The sequence below is a fragment of the Homo sapiens genome, chromosome 2 (assembly GCF_000001405.40).
Source record: "Homo sapiens chromosome 2, GRCh38.p14 Primary Assembly".
NCBI lineage: Eukaryota > Metazoa > Chordata > Mammalia > Primates > Hominidae > Homo > Homo sapiens.
This window is the reverse complement of record NC_000002.12, coordinates 21258802-21276036: the sequence shown is the minus strand read 5'-3', so window position 1 is coordinate 21276036 and position 17235 is coordinate 21258802. Positions and strand designations below refer to the sequence as shown.

Below are 17235 nucleotides of genomic sequence, written 5' to 3'. Positions count from 1 at the left end.
ATCTACACACAGACACAGGCACACACGCTCACACATGCGTGCACACTTCTTCTAAATACATGCCACATTTACTTTCATTGACACATCCAGTAAAACTCCAGTTGGTCCTAACTCTTCCCATGCTGTCTGGATCATCAGAACACTAGCATTTCAATGGACAAAGCTCTGAGATGGAGAGCCTCTGTCTCCCGCAGCCTTTCCAGGCCATAGTTGGATCAGGAAAATCAGTGATGCCCACTACTCTGGCTCACATTCTGTGCAGCAGTGGCCCCAGGACTCCCTCTGGGCACTGGCCCCAGGGAGCTCCATCAGGAAGATACCCAGCAGAGTGAAGGTTTGGAGCAGCCTGACCAAATAATAAATCTTTCAGAGGCACAGGCTACAGCAGAGAACTTGACTGCCAGGAAATATCATTTTTCCCCCTGGAGCAGTCAAGCTGAGAACACAGCTCCCGGCTGCTGAAGCAGGTGGACCATTCTCTAACACCAGAGTCCTTCTGGAACACAGGATTCAGAGAGGGAAATGTGGGCCCTGTTGTCTCCAGGTGGGAGAATCAAGGAGGCCCAAAGGCAGGGATTAAAGGGCACAGAGGAGAAGGCTGAGGCTGCCAACCAGAAACCCCTGCTCAAGGAGACCATGACCACCCATGGCTGCTAATTTCAAGCTGCCTGGCAGAAAACAGGAAATCCCTCTGAAGTAGGTGCTGTGCCCCGTGTTCAATTCAGCCGAGATAGGGCGTGCCAGGTACTCAGACCCATGCTCAGCTCCCTGGAGACAGTTTCTGTCCTCCAGAAAACTACAGTCCAGTGGACCAGGCACCCTGATGACAGGATAAAGAATATAAAGAGAGAGACATGAAATTTCAAGATGCATGACCTGGACGGAAACTTGACTTCATCTTCAAAATTCCAACTCTAACTTAGATGCATATTGCTCTTGACTCTGGGGAGTTTTCAGAATAGGATTATTTCAGCAGAATAAGGGTGAGTGCTTCTCCTTGCTCCTGAGATTCCTATTGTTTCTCATAAGGACGCCACAGCCGACAGCTGACTCCAGGGACAGCAGTCCAAGCCAAAGTTCATGCAGGAGCTACGCCAGTTCTGGGCAGAGCCAGCATCCCCCTTAAAGGCTGCGAACTTCCTGTCATGAAAGACTCTGCTGTAATAGTCATCGTTGCCATCATCGTCATCATCATCATCATCATCATCCAGCAATAGCCAGAGGAAGATTATTAAGGACAGACACTCGGTCTTTTTCTCCTCCACACCCTTGACAGAGCCTGACCCAAAGTAATGTTCAACAGGTGTCTATGAGTGAATACATAGAGTGCTTAATGAGAGATATGTAGGGAAATGCAAGTATTCCTAATTTTCCTGTCTTCCAGGATCACCACAGTCTTCTCTATGCAGATAAAAATAATTGAGGACCTCTTCTGTGGCTGTAGAAAGACCATGACTCCCAGAAGGTTCCCCTCTGTTAGGACTACAGATTCCCCTTTGTTAGGACTGCTGTGAGCCCAGGAAAGGCATGTGCTCAGGTCCCCCAGGGGCAGCTCTTCCCTGCTGGTTTCAGAGCAGTGCTTGGAGCCCTTCCCTGCCGACCTCTCATTTGTAAGGTCCCTCCTGTGCCCCATGCTTCTGCTTAGCTTCTCCCAACATGTGGGCACCCTCTCACCTTTTAGTCCCTACATAAGCCTGGCACTTAGCTGTGAAATGTAGAACTTCATGTCCTCTGAGGATAAACCAAGAGGAGACAATGCTGAGAAGGAAGGCCTCCAAGGTGAATATCGGAACACACTGCTTCCAGTGCCAGTCAGCAATGCAATCCCACGGTGGGGAGCAGATCCCTTCAGGCAGCAGCGCCCCTGACTCCTGCACTCAGGAATACACCCTCATGCCCCAACAAGCTGCTGGGCACTCCCAGAGGGCAGTTCTCCGGAGTTCTCTCCTCCCTTTCTCCACAGGTCCAGAGTCTCATATCCTGTCATCCACAACTCTAGGGAGCCCAAGCAAAAATGGTTAAGCTCAAAGTAACCCTCCCAGAGCTTTTGCTCTGGCCACAGGGAGGGCAGACAACCCTTCCATCATCAGGAAGGGCAGTTTGAGGTCCTCTTTCATCACCCTGTTCTTCTCTCCTGCTTTTGTGTGACCAAAGGGCTTACTAATGCCCCTTCAAAGATAGGTTCTACAGCCACCCCAAGATCATTGAACACCTGCGTGTGTTTGTGACATTTTTTGGCTGCATATTTGTCTGGGATCTGCCACACGTGGAAGGGGAGAAAAACCTGGCAGGGTCTTTGCACCCCAAGCATCGCAGTGCCCAGGCTCAGTGACCTTTCTTTGCCACCCACCACCCTTTAGTGTCTGCCCTGCTCTGTGCAGAGGCTCAAGGAGGAGAACTGTCAGAGCAGACGCAGCCAGGAGCAGGGAGGCAGCGGCAAATATCTTCCTGTCACTGACATCTTAATAATCACCAAGTTTTCAAAGAAACTTCCAACCACAAGGAAACTTCCAGACAAAATTGACTTCCAGTGAAATGCATTTACCTCACAGTTCTTCTCCACATGTACTTTATGACAGCATCGTGAGTCTCCTACCTGGAGTTGAAATATTGTCAGCTTGTACGAGTAAAGCAGGATGGAAGTGAGTTTGTATTGAGAAAAAAAAAATGTCAGTCAGGCTCCTAATTGCCTCTGAGCCTGCTAAGGAGGTGCAGGGCCCCCAGCCTGCACCCATGCTACCCTTAGCAGCCGCCGACCTCTCAGAATGGCCAAGTCAGAGGCCACTTCGTGGCCAGAGGGCACAGTCTGCACACTGCACACGTGGCAGTGGGGTGCTCACCAGCAACCCTGACCTCATGACCTCGGTCCTCCTTACTGTACAGCTCCCTTAGGGAGCAGGAGGACCTGCAGAGGATCCCTGTCTGCCCCCTTTAGGAAAAGGTGTGAAGTCATTTACATGTGATTGAGAAGAGTGACGGTTCCTGTGTCCTCTCTCCTTGGGATACGCTTCCCCAGCCTGGACTCTGTTGGCAGCAGCAAGAAGATGGCAGATGGATTTGAGAGGGGAGACCTGTTCCTTTCCTCCTTTGAACCTCTTCTGTTTTTCTGTTTTTCTTTTTTTTTTTTTTTTTGAGATGGAGTCTCACTCTGTTGTCCAGGCTGGGGTGCAATGATGCGATATCGGCTCATGGCAGCCTCCGCCTCCCGGACTCAAGCGATTCAAGTGATTCTTCTGCCTCAGCCTCCCGAGTAGCTGGGATTACAGGCATGTGCCACCATGCCCAGCTAATTTTTGTATTTTTAGTAGAAACAGCGTTTCACCAGGTTGGTCAGGCTGGTCTCAAACTCCTGAGCTCAAGTGATCCACCCGCCTGGGCCTCCCAAATGGCTGGGATTACAGGTGTGAGCCACCGTGCCCAGCCTGAACCTCTTCTTAACCATAGTCTTCCTCTCCCAGGTGTCCGGTCAACTCTTCGTCCTTTCCATAACAAATGCTGCTCATCTTTCAAAGCTCTTCTCCCATCCTCCTTCAGCCACAAACTCATCCCTAACTCTCCCAAGCAATAGAAACGTCTCCCTTGCCTGGCCTGACTCCTGTTGCTCAGACAGAACTAGCCCAGCTGAGGGGCCTGGGAAGGCCTCTGGCTAGAGAGGACCCATCACGTCCCTCCTCACCCACCTGGCCCTACAGCACTGGCACTATACTTTCTCCCTCCACCTCATAGTGCAACCATGCACGGGGCTTCTCACACTTGAGGCAGAGCACATAATTCAAACCTGTGCAGTACAGAAAGATGGAGGAATGGTGTTCCTTTGTTTGTCTTAGAGAAACGTCCCCATATGGAGAAAACACCCCCCAACCAAGGCCCACACCCAGAGCCTTGCTCATTGCTGCTGGTGGAGGCTGGTGGCTCGTCAGTGCTGACTACAATAGCTCCATCTCCTGACCTGCTCTTGTTCTTAAAGTTCATGGCTTTTCTGGTAGCCACAGGGGACAGGACCATGGTATTTGTCAAGAAAATTACCCTTGTACCGAGAGGCTGAAAAACAAAGGTGAGCAAAATGTGCCATGATGGGGTACTAGAGGCCCCACAAGGGCAGTTGTCAACAGCTTCTATCTCCCACCCCCAGTGAAGCACTCCACAGGAACTTGGAGGATGGTGAGGGCATCACAGTGGGGAGAGGACCTGGATGGCGGAGGAGGAGCTGAGGATATAGAGGCTTTAGCTAGGTTGGGGACTTGGGGAGTAGTGAAAGATAGGAGGCTACTGGGAAAAAGCCCAGGGCACTGAAAATTGAGAAACTTGGGTTCTAGTCACAATGTGGGTCTGACACATCATAAGGCCTCAGGCAAGTCAATTCGCCCCTCAGAGCCTCTGCTTCCATTTCTCACTGTTGAATGAGATACTGGCCAAACACACAGGAGTTTTAGTGCTTTACAAGAAAAGAAAACATTGTCCAGACCCAGGGATGGGTATAGGGAGTGCTTATCATGCGTGTGGAGACCATGAGCCAGACCCAGAAAGTGTCACAGAGGGAGAAGGGTCAGGGCTGACCATGCCTTAGGAGTTGAGAGTTGAAGTGGGTTCAGGCAGGGAAATTGCAGAATTGAAAGTGAAGGAAGCTGTCCTCTGAACTAGGTACATGGGGCTGGATTTGCAGAGACATCAGGCTCAGAAATGCACACTCAGGCTTCCTAGCATGGAAATCATAAGTTCATCTGGAGGACTAGAGTGGTCAATGAGCCAGGAAGTGACTATGGAAAAGCAAAGAGGACCCCCAAAGTTGCTGTGCAATCCCAAAGCTGGGGCCATTTGTGTGTATCTCTTCCCAACTCAGTGTTCAGTGACTTCATATGAAAAAGTCACTGAAAATCAGCTGTGGGGGTACGGCAGTATTTACATAACGGAAAACTGCAAACTAATTGGGGATGGTTCTTCACAAGCTGGTTATTAGACATTTTTACCACTCCCAAAGGACATCTCATTTTAAAGGGGGAGAGAAAAAGCCAGCCAAAGAAAACAGAAAGCAGACTCAAAGCTGGAGGTGCAGAAGCTGGAGGGAAGAATGCCCTGAATGCAAGGCAGGAGACATGGCCCAGAGGAAAAGGTCTCGTTGGTGTGGACTGGGTCCAGATGAGCCATCTGCACTCTCTCACTAGTGCACTCTGTGACTTCAGACACACGCGTTGGGACAGCTGGCTAGCCTCAAGCCAGAGGGGAAGATGACCTCAATGGGTGTATCTATGCTGCACCACCTGATCAGGCTCCGACCATGACCTTGGCCTCACTGTGATAGTGACAACACGGACTTTCTCCTGACTTTTTGTCTAATTTCTTGGTTCTTCTGGAAAATGAAAGCATGACCAAAAAGCTATTTTCACAACGTCTAAATTCTACTCTGACAAAATTTAATGATACATGGTAGAAAAACTTCATCTTTCCTGGCACACAGACATGCTAGCAATGAGAAGGAGTTAACGTACTGGCCAGATTGTACTTAGACCCTCCTCAGACACTGGCCACCCCAGACTTATGACTGTCATAGTACTGGGAGCCTTCTTGACTTCTCCCAGAGCTCAGGGCTCATTCTCTGCAGAACTCTGTCAGGCAGCAGTTACATTATGTATCTGCTCAACACTCAGGCAAGAAACCATTATGTTCACGGATCATTATTGACATCCTGACATTTGTCACCTCCTTTCATAGCAGTTAAATCTTGCTTTATCTGTAAATGTCACTATGTCATTTATTCATGAAAGGGGTCACATTCCTGAAATAGCATGCTTCAGTTTAAAAGGGGAGCTTGGCTTTATTCGCAGTGGGTAATCCTCAAACAAACTTTACTGCTGATAAATGCTTTTTTATTGGACTTTCTTGGCCTTAAATGACATCCTCAAATGTAGAATGCAGTTCTGGGTTTGTGGAAATAAAATCTGAATGTTGAACAAGAGAGAAAATTGTTGAGATTAGAATAAGTGGAGCTTTTCTGTGGCCACATGTAGTAAGTTGGATGTAAACAGATTTGAATTTATTAAGAGTAAGCCACAATTTTAATATGATTGTTACACTTCTGGAAACATGCCGATGGCCTTTTTGAATCATTTATGCCACAGAAACCTCAGTGAAATCAGGGGCCTTTTAACCTTCCTGAGTTTATCTCTTAGCTGGGGACGTTAGAGAGGAGAAATCAGCGAACTTGATGTGCTTAGTTCTCCAACCTTCAGATTCCAAGGACGCTGGGGAGATGATTAACTCATCTCAGAACTTAAGTTTGCAGGAAATAGTGTTTCTTTTCTTCACAAAGTTTGTTCAAAGTTCACTTTATGTAGGGTAATTACATAATTTATTATCCAATCGTACACCTTTCTAAAAAGAAAAGAGGTTAAAAAATAAATAATAAACAGCTATTGGTTGATCTATTAATACATCAACCATGAACCCAGACAAAACAGGCATATATCCACCCTAACTGTAAGGCTTTATCAACTGTGTTGTATCATTGTTTTGCTTTACAGGTTTATATTCACCAGCTGATAATTAAATATTATCCCAAAAAGGCTTTTCTCTCTGTGTACAGGGTCCCACAGCTATCTGACTTTGACTCATTTTTCTAACCCAGTGATTCTCAAAGTGTGGCTGGCCCATGGACTGAAATGGCCTGAAGAGGGTGTTAAAAAAATGTAATCACCTAGTCTCTAGTCAGATCTACCAAATCAGAATCTCCAAAGAGGTGGCTCAGGCACCTGCATTTTAACCTACCTCCCAAGTTCTTCTTCCACTCCCTGAAATTTGAAAGCCAACTGCTGTGATCCAAAGCTCTGGCTTGCTCTAGCTACCTCTGTGTTCTGGTCACACTGCAGTAATAAGAAGTGGGTGGGTAAATTCTGCTCTTTTTGCCTAGAAAAGTAACTTGCAGATGGGGCGTGAGCTGAAAATACATTCTCTGTTGTGCACAAATACGGAGGCCGTGACACTTCCCTCATGATGCCATCAAACCTCATCCTCCTCCCCCGCACAGAGTCGTGCATGTAACCATTTCACACCCACGAGGTGCAGGATGCATGCATAAATACAGTCTCAGAGTAGCAGGAAGATAAGAAAACAGTAAGATGACATTGGCTTCATTGCAAAACGTGATCAAATGCAATTAAAACTACTCACTCTTAGGATAGAAAAGGGCCTGGGAGGAAGATTTCTCCAGGCACTAATGAAATCTTTTTTGAGTGTCATATGGCCGCAGTGACAAAGATCACAGACCACAGCCAAACCTAAGCTCCTGCTTCCACTTGTAATCACAGGCCAGGGTCATGGTCATATGGCCAGCACTGACTCACATAACATCCTCATTAGTTCACCGGCATCATCACAGCCCTGGTAACTTCATACCACCGATGGCCACTGAAAGGGACCAGGAGGGTGGTCAGCTAAATCAAGGCAGCAGGGGCAACAGATAATCAGGGCACATTTTAGTTGTGGGGTGCTTTCATGTACATTTTTCATTATCACCTCCCTCAATTGAGTTGGGATTTCCTGTGCGCCCCGTGTGCTAGGCACTATGACAGGCCCTGATGTCATGCGTTGCATCAGGCACAGGCTGCACGGGCCAAATGGGTAACGGCCAGGAGAGTGTCACTCAAACACTGTCGGCAGAGTCTGAGGAGCACAGAGTTGTGCCTCCTGGGAGACCAGGGACTGACTCCCTGATGGAGGGACCTCAGGACCAGTGCTCACCGAGCAGAACTGGAAGGAGGCACTCACGGAGGAAAGGTGAAGGAGCAGAGCAAGAACTGGTTACATGGGATGCGTGGCCTCCCCCCTCGAGAAAATTCCAGTCCAGCAGAAAAGACACACCAGGCACACGGAGACAAGCCACCTGCAGCCGTTGTTCAGCAAGGCCTTGTGTGGGGACTAGTTTTTGAGAGACAAGGGCAACGAGGCTCAGAGAAATGAAGTCACTGGTTCAAAGTCACAGAGCAAGTTAGTGTCACAGCCAGGATTAGAATGTGGGCCTCGTAGTTCCTTGTTCAGTGTTCTTTCCTCTACACCACAAAGTGGGAAGTGTTCACAGGCTAGTTAAACTCATCCCAGGTAATACTCTGCTCTGACTAAACATCATCACAGCCTTGGCAACTTCATACTGCTGATGGCCACTGAGAGGGACCAGAAGGGTGGCCAGCCAAATCAAGGCAGCAGGGGTGGCAGATAATCAGGGCTCTCCTATGCACGCTTACACAAGCCATTCTTCCCTCGTGGGACACTCTCCTCTCTTCCTTGCACTTTGTTTATTGATCTTATCTTTTAAGAACATTCCAGCCCACAAATCCCATGGGGTACCCTAGAGATGGCTGGCTGTTCTGAGCTGTCTTGCACTGAAACAAGGGGAGGAGGTAGCCTTTATCCCTCCCACCCCCATTGAGTCCTTGAATGTGGGTTGTCCTCAGGGAGGGGGCCTGATCTTGGACAAGATAAGACCAAATATTGGAGAGAACTGAGGACGGTCAGCCAACAATGTGTCCAGCAGATGGGAAAATGAGTGCCTCAGTGCTGAAAGGGAGATCTGGGCAACACGTCACAGCATCCACTACTCCAGCTTTGCTGCTCCACACAAAGCTCCCCTAACAACCTCAGCCCCACCCTGCTCAGCCCCAATCCTTCCCTCCTCTGACCTCTAGGGTCCGGTCTGTGTCATTCACTCTGCTCTTATAGTCTTTCTTCATTTCTCTATTCTCTCTTCAACAAGGATTAACATACAGAACCTGCACATTAGGCCTTCAAAATGAAGAAATAAATATGGTATAGTTTCCAGTCTTTAGTGTATAATAGGCCTGCTTGACCAGGCCATTTGTACAAACCAGAATCTCTCCTCCTCCACTGAAGCAGGAGTCTCACCCTTCTTCTTCTGCTCTGTCGCTCCAAGTCTAGGTGGGGCTGAGCCAAGGACCACACATGACCCCAACCCCAGGGATAGTCTTCACCTCTGATGCTCACTGCCTCTGCAAGGAGCACCTGGCTCCTGGCCCTGCACAGATCACCTACCTGGGCAGCATTTGCTGAAGCACCTTGGACCCTCACATCAGCTGAGAATCCTTCACCACCACTAAGCATGGGGCTCAGCCTTCCTGCTGGGCTCCAGCCTAGGCTCATAGCCACTGTAGATCAACAGTGAGAGTCCAGGGAGGAAGTCATCATATGCCCAGGAGATGCTGATTGAGAGCCAACTGTGAGTCCACCTTAAGAATGGTAAAATCACCATCCTGGCTAACACAGTGAAACCCTGTCTCTACTGAAAATACAAAAAATTAGCTGGGCATGGTGGCAGGCGCCTGTAGTCCCAGCTACTCAGGAGGCCGAGGCAGGAGAATGGCATGAACCCGGGAGGCGGAGCTTGCAGTGAGCCGAGATCGCGCCACTGCACTCCAGCCTGGGCGACAGAGCCAGACTCCGTCTCGAAAAACAACAACAACAACAACAAAAAGAATGGTAAAATCTCAGGGCCTCTCCATTTGACCTTCAGTACCTCAACAACCAAGCAAGATCCCTGACCTCACCTTCAAATATCTTGATTCTTAAGCTTCCATTCCCATTTAAGTGGACAAATTCATCCTCAGTTCTTCCCATCTGCTCAGAGACTGACATTCACTGAGCTTTAAGGTAAGGAGAGAAAGTTTCAGTTAAAATTTCAAGCCCATTTTTAAAAAGCATAGGTCCAATTCTTCCCACTCACCAGATTCTGCCAACTCACCTGCTTTCAGCAGCCTTGATAGCCCTCCCTGAGCTGGGTGCTAGGAAGAGCCAGGACACAGTTCCTGGTCTGGGGGAGTCCAGTCTAGCTGGGAGGCAGAACGGATGTCACAGGGCCATGATGGGGCAAAACTAGCCCAGTCAGACTACCTGGCACCCATTCTTCTCAGATCCAGGCCTCTTCAGAGTTACGAGATTTATTTGAACAAATGTCCTTGTCTCACTGAATCTCAGTTTCCTAATAAATGGAGAAAATATTGACCTGTCAGGTTCACTGTAAAACTGAATGAGTGTGAATGTCAAGCACTTCATGCAGGGCCTAGCACACAGTAGGCCTGCACCTTCATAACTCTCCTTCTTCCATAAAAGTGGAATGTAACTGTGGTCGTCTGCTCCCACTCAGGAGGAGGACTTTCAAACTGGCACATCCTCTGCCTCGCTCTGTGCCTGTGAGAGAGTAGATTAACCTCCAAATGCCTCAGGTTCCTCATCTGTGGACAGTAATTGCTGTCCCTGTGGCTACCCAGCTCCAGTTATCATTGAAAGCAAAGCACAAGGTACGTTTCAGTGTGTCTGGGAGCTGGCTGGGAGACAGTTTCCAGAGAGGTGCAGGGTGGGGTTCTATTATGACCACTGGGATTGAAAAGACAGCTCTATTTTCCACTCTGTCTTTCTATGAAATTGAACTCCAGCCCTGGAAATTAATATCCCCACTGCATTTGAGTGAGGTGAGGTGGCTCTATTTTTACAAGCACAGCAGCATCAAGCCCTAGTCTGGGATGCTGTGAGCTTTTGCTGGGCTCTGCATCAGGGAATCATAATTCAGGGCCAGCCTCAGCTATGCAAACCTCCACAGGCCTTTTATGACATGAGTGCTATTGAATATTCTATAAAATCTCCTTGGACAACTGGCCCACATTTCTTTATAATCTCCCCAGACTGTTTCTGAAGTCTCTCTATAGACATTTTTACTCTAAAAATCCATAGTGTTTCTTAATAAGAATCCAGGCCTCTCGTAAGGGATTGTGGAAAGGATAAGGCTGGATCGGTCTGCAGGAGAGGTTGAGGTGGAGCCACGGCAGTCACTCTGTTCCTGTTAAGCCCTTGGATGAGGCTTCAGAGCTGAGGAACCTGTCAGCAGGATGCAATCGCTTCCAGTGGATGGAGATGAAGGAAGGGATTTAGAAGTGGAGCCATATTCACCCCCACACTCCACTGGATTCCAAGCTCTCCTAACCTGGAGTAGGAGAAGGTCAGGGAATAGGACCAAACACCTGTGTGCCTTCTGAGACGCTCCCGGCTGTCTCTTTCTCTCTTTCTGTGGGCTGGAGCCCACTTGTGCCAAGCTTTCCCCCACTTTTCCACTCGCATGAAGCACAGTATCATGAGCATGGGATCTGGCTTACTGAGCATCCACCAGGGGCTATGATTTCCTCTGGATATAACCTTGACCAGTGAGAAATGGAACTGGAAAGTAATTGGACAGATAAATATCCTCTTTTCTTCCCAATGTGGATTACTTCAAAGCGTGTTTTTTCCTCACCAACCTTCCCACGCAGCCCAGTACGCCAAGCGGCTGTGCCTGTTGAGGAACTAATGTGTCACTGCAAGGTTCACATAAACCTCTGGCTAGCAGAGGGGCAGGTGGCATTGCATTGCTTCCATCTTTCCTTGATTCACTTGCCTCTTCCTGCCATCACCCTCACCACCTTGAGCTTGTACCTCCAAAGTAGGGTGTTATTGCTTTAATTCTTGCCACAAACACTACCTTTCAAAAGGACCTGGGCTACCGTACATGTGGCTTTGCCAAGAGCGAAGATCAACTAAGTCGGCAGAGGGCTCTATCAGAGGAAGATGGGTCCTTTGGTGATCCTGGGGGACAGAACTTCTCTATGACTAATCTCCATGCCACACCACCCCCTTTTGCCTGGCACAGGCTTAGCATATGGTAGAGATTCCATAAGAAGCTGAAATATGTTGCATTAAACTGAGCATGTTAGAACCAGAAATAAACCTGAGCCCTTTCCCCAAAAAGGTTTTCTAATCAGGAGAATGAGCTATGAGCTTCTGCTAGCACTGCCCCTTGGAGTAACTGCATTTTCAAGAACCCTGTAAAGGATCATGCACCGTATACTCACCCTTCAATCTTTTACAACTTTTGAAACTCTTTCACAGGTTATAGTTTATCAGATTCTCATAGAAAGTCTCCAAAACAAAGTAGATAGCATTTTACTTAAATTGACATTTAACACCCAGGGAAACCAAGACTTGCAGAGGTGACATGATTTTCCCAAGCTCATACAAAGTCCAGGCCCTTTACTGTGGTGCTATCATACTAAAACAGGTAGAGGTCCCAGGCACCAGTTCACGTGCTCTTACATACTAATTGCACAGACAAGAGAGACCATTCATACTGCCTGGCATATGCCTTTTGTCCAAAGACCATAGTTGTATTCATGTCCTCAAATGAACAAAGGGAACACGGTGATCCCTCTGGAACACGGTGAGCACAAGCCTCTCTTTGTTCTTCTCTGCATTGCTAAGTTCATCTCAGTCCTCAAAGAGCAGCCAGGCTTCCCAGCATGGTCTCTGGTCCTGGTCTTCCAAGGAGCAGCATTGGCAGGGGAGATAGATCACAGGAAAAGAAACACATTAGAAATTCCATTCCCCAAACCGGGCACTTTGGACTCCAGCAAGCACTGGGTGATGCCACTGTTTCTGTCCCACTGACCTTCTGTTGCAAGTGTGGGGTACACATGCAGAAGGAGGCATTGGTCTCCCTCAAACCCCATGCTAACCCCTCCCCTTCTTCTCCAAGGTCCGACAGCACTCACAGTTTCAGCACACAGCTTAGTGTTGATCATATAACTCCTAAAATTGTTTTTCCTAGTTCTTATTCCACAAGCATTAACCTCTTACTAGTTGCCAGATATTAAGGATATAATAAATAAGGCATCATGCTTGCCTTCAAAGAGATCACAGTCTAGAGGGAAGACAGGCACCTAAGTAGACAATTATAAGACCATGGGAGGACAATAAAGGCAAGAACATCTACTCAGAAGAGAGTAAGTAACTCTCCCTGGAGTTGGGAGAGACTTCACAGAGGAGGTGGCGTCTGAGTTGGAACCAGTGGATGAACAGGAGTTTGCCGCAGTTGACAAGAGTGTCAGAGGACAGAGCTTGTACCAGTGCACATTAGGAAGAACCAGAACCATGGAGGCAGCCAGAAACTCAGACACTAGAACAAGGTGTGAGGGGAACAGTAGGGGACAGGCTGAGGCCAACTCATGAAGGGTGTTAAATGCCAAATTGAGGAGAAAGTCTTTCCATGTCCTCAGAAACAGGGCTGGTGTCCTTTACAGTTCTATCCCTCCCAGACCTAGCCCAAGGCTGATAACCTAGGAGTGGTCCTCTCCCCACCACACACACTTGGAGCTGGACCACTTGAACCCCTCAAAGAAGAACTAAGTGCCTCGGAAGACTCTGGATGGAAAATCCAGCTTCATCTCCAAGGCTCCTTCCTGGTAGGAAATGTCCCTGTGAAAATGAGACCTGGAGGCAGGATGGAAAAGCTCCCCCTCTTGTCCTGCTGCTGCGGCTTCCCAGGATCATATAAGCCCAAGTTGCCTGTCATCAGCCACCAAAGCCATTTTTTATTCCAAATAAAGAAAAGGACCAGCTGTCTGTCTGCCTTAACTTCCTGCCTGACCCAGGAGAAAGGAAAGAAAAAGACAGACAGACAATTAAAGACAGAGCTTTATGAGCAAATACAGAGAGATACAAAATGGAATTGGGCCATGAGACATGGAAACAAACAGCAAGAAATAGAGTGAGACAAAAAGACACAGGGCCAGCCCAGAGAAAGAAGCAAAATACTTTTTAAAAAGAAAGCTGAAGAGTTCAAATAAAACTGGGGGAGTTATAACCATTTAAAGTGATTAATAAATTCGGGACTGAAAGAAACAAGATGAGAAGATTATCCTCTTCCAACAGTTTGGCCACCAAACAGAAAAAGAAAAGAAACAAGGAAATTCCCTGAGTAATGCCATGCTGGCCAATGCTGGAGACTCTCTCCATCCAGCATTTTCCTGAGGCCAGAAGCAATGTTGGGCTCTGGAGCCAACTGTTTGCCAAATGCTAAGTCCTGAAATATCACCTCCACCTCCTGCATTCAAAAGTTCCTCCCCCAGGAAGGCAACTAGGGCTGGATTCTCCTTTTACTGGGGATACAGAGGAAAAGCACTAGTGTTTTACAGCGGCTCTAGTTACCTTGGAAGTACTCAGAAGAAGGTGCACACTTGCATTTTTTTTTTTTTTACTGTCTTTCAGAAATCTCAGTCCGGCTCACTAGCATGACTGGTTCCAACTTCTTCAGCACAAGCTCTTCTCAATTTTCCTTCTTCAGAAGCCGGTGCTCTTTACTGGCCTCCTGTCGGGGGCTCCTGCCTGCACATTCTCTGCCTGAGCCTGCTTGCTGCACGGCTCAGTGCCAAGCTCTCTGTCATCTCCCTGTCTGCATCAGGGGCCCTCTCATTTCAGTGGCTCCTGGGATGCTCCAGTGGCAAAACCCCAGGAGATACTCAGCTCCCGCTGTTCTTCCCGGAAGGAACTTTAACAGATACAATGATCAGAAAAAAGCAAAACAGACACAGGAAGGCAGAAAAGGCAGATGAAACTTCTATAACTTATATCACCAAACATGTTGCCTCCTCTATGTGGTAGACACATTTACATGCATTGTCTTTTGTTGATTCAGTGCAATTCTAAAATAATCTGCTCCACTTGGAGCACAGACGCAAACCCAGAGACGTTAAAAGGGCCTTTTAGATTCAGCCTTTGACAGCTGAATCTAAAAACAGCTGTCAAAGAGCCCATAGGTTGTACTCTAAAGAAGAAGTAGCCAGCACTTTGGGAGGCCGAGGCGGGTGGATCACGAGGTCAGGAGATCGAGACCATCCTGGCTAACACGGTGAAACCCCGTCTCTACTAAAAATACAAAAAATTAGCTGGGCGTGGTGGCGGGCGCCTGTAGTCCCAGCTACTCGGGCGGCTGAGGCAGGAGAATGGCGTGAACCCAGGAGGCGGAGCTCGCAGTGAGCCGAGATCGCGCCACTGCACTCCAGGCTGGGCGACAGAGCGAGACTCCGTCTCAAAAAAAAGAGAAGAGGTAGTACCACCTTCATGTCCTTCCCTGTGACCTAAAATCAAGTTTAAAAATAAAGATGCCTAGGATGTTTTTCCTGATCCCAGGGCTAGTTAGTAATTTTAAGTCCACAGACAATGGGTATCACTAAAAGGAGCAGCACTGAGAAGGAGGAGCCAACAGGAATAGTTTAGGATAAGAGCTAATTGGCACCGTTTCATGCTGGAAGGTGTCACTATATTATAGCCCTACAAGAAAATAGGTTCTCCTAAAGATCGAGAGAATTTAGAGCTATGGAGGCACCACGTGGAGTAACGGCTTCATTTTACAGATGGGAAAACTGAGGCCCAGGGATGAGATACCCTAGGTAAAATGGTGTCCTGGCTGCTGTTTTAGGAAGCAGGGAGGAAGCAATCCATCTTTTCAAAAGAGATCCAGAAAGTATGTGCAAGTCTAACAAAGGAGACTTCTGTAATCTGAAATATACACTTTTGCAGGCCAGCTCCTTCCCCAAGCACACAAGATAGGCAGTGTGTCCAGGCACCAGGGAGAGGGGCGCAGAAATCCAGTTGCACAGAAATTGTACAAAAGGCAGGCAGCTGCGCTTAGTGCAGGAAGCTAGCACAGCCAGTAACAGCAGGGTCTGTCTGCCTGAGATCTGGACTCCTATCTCTGGAGACCTAAAGAACTAAAAATCACATATGGCCAGAGGCAGGGAAATCACCCAGCAAGCCTTGGGCACGCTACTGGATTTGGGCAGCTCCTCTGTTGAATTTTAATGAAGTAATTAAGAGCTAGATAATAGAGATGGGGCTCTGCAGAGCAACACTCACAGACCTAACCTCTTTGATATGTTCCTTCATCAGGAAGCAACTCTATCACTAGATGGCTTCATTAATATTCAGGCCTGCTCTCTAGCTCTTAAAGTGATCTATGCCAAAGTTTGTTAGTCTTTTAAATTACCTGCCGAGGACCCCTCCACCCCACCCCCGATAAAAAGGAAGAATGAATGCATTCTAAAGAAAGGACAATGTCACCGAGGGTGCTAGAAGAGATAAACCCTGCTCGTATTTCCTTTTCAGAAAGTAGTCTGGATAACCAAGAAGAAATAATTATGGGACACCCTCAGTGCAGACTGACGAGGAGAGATGGACTGGGACAGAAAAGATCCAGAGAATGGCAGCCCAAGAGAGCGAGCAGCCTGTTTTCACCAGGGATACCTGTCTTTTAGAGTTGGCCTCATGGCAGATACCTTGACCACTGGACAGCCCAGAGGTTAACTCCTTAATCCAGAGCAAAGATAAAGAAGCCTAATGCTTGGGCTCCAAATGGCCCAGAGAACTTTGTCCAGAGAACCCTAAACTTCTGCCCAAGAGGTAGGTATACCTTTGTCCCCCAGGGTCAGGGAACAGAGAAGGGCTGACTCTCCTTTTTGCTCACCTCATATATTCTCCCTGTTCCCTTTGCCTCCTTGTTTGTCAAGGCCCATATGAAACCTCCTCTCCTGCAGGGAAACTTCCTGTATAATCATGGAGGCTTAGAGGTGGGACCTCAGATTTCAGCCTACCCCATCTTCTCTCCCGCTCCTGTATTATCACTTTAAATAATTCCCAATTAAGAAGATCCAGCTTCTCCATGACTATTACCAAGGACAGGAAGATTACTCTTCCACAAGTTCAGTGTCAGTCATTTCTTGCTGTAAACATGTACTAAAAAGAATTCTGTTTCCCGACTACTTGAATGCATTAAAAATAGCTTTGTGGTGTGCCTATAAGGGAGTAGCATGGGGGAACCTTATGGTGAGAGTCTAGTTCTGTATCTTGACTGTGGTGGTTACATGAAGTCATTCATGGACCCTCCCCCCTTCCCGACACACACACACACACACACACACACACACACACACACACACGTTCATGCAAACCTGGTGAAACCTAAAAAAGCGCTGTGGATTATATCAATGTTAATTATCTGGTATGGATACGGAATCACAGTTATGCCAAGTGTCAAGAATGGAGGAGGCTGGGTGAAGAATGCAGGGGACATTCCCATGCATGTCTTTGCAATTTCCCGCAAATCTATGGTTATTTTAAAATAAGAAGTTAAAACAAAATAGCAGACATCTTTTGAAAGTATGTGTGTGCCATGCACTGTTTAAATACTTTTTAGGTATTAACTCACTTAAACCTGAAAACCACCATAGATAGTAGGTACTACTATTTTCCCCATTCTACAGATGGAGACACTTACGCACAGAGAGATGAAGTCACTTTCCCAAGATCACACAGCTAGTGGGTGGTGGAGCCAGGATTAGAACCCAAGCTGTCTGATGCCAGAGCGTCCCTGCT

The 17235-nt window shown here is 47.7% G+C and overlaps 1 long non-coding RNA gene across 1 annotated transcript in view, besides 1 other annotated feature; it reads right to left on the bottom strand.

The window, feature by feature from the left end:
* The window catches only part of LOC105374317 (uncharacterized), a 64310-nt gene that overhangs the window by 9433 nt on the left and 37642 nt on the right, over positions 1 to 17235 (bottom strand). Inside the window, exons 2-3 of the long non-coding RNA XR_002959373.2 lie at positions 9746 to 12339; positions 9552 to 9647 (exon numbers count right to left, since the gene is read on the bottom strand). This is a non-coding gene — a long non-coding RNA (uncharacterized LOC105374317). The remainder of the gene's footprint in view (positions 1 to 9551; positions 9648 to 9745; positions 12340 to 17235) is intronic.
* Positions 10424 to 10593: a silencer, noted in NCBI's record as "fragment chr2:21488316-21488485 (GRCh37/hg19 assembly coordinates)". NCBI's record gives its function as "represses an EF-1alpha promoter that drives an FKBP-Casp9 reporter gene in an ReSE screen in phorbol 12-myristate 13-acetate-treated (for megakaryocytic differentiation) K562 erythroleukemia cells {active_cell/tissue: K562(+PMA)}" and the evidence as "EXISTENCE:reporter gene assay evidence [ECO:0000049][PMID:32094911]".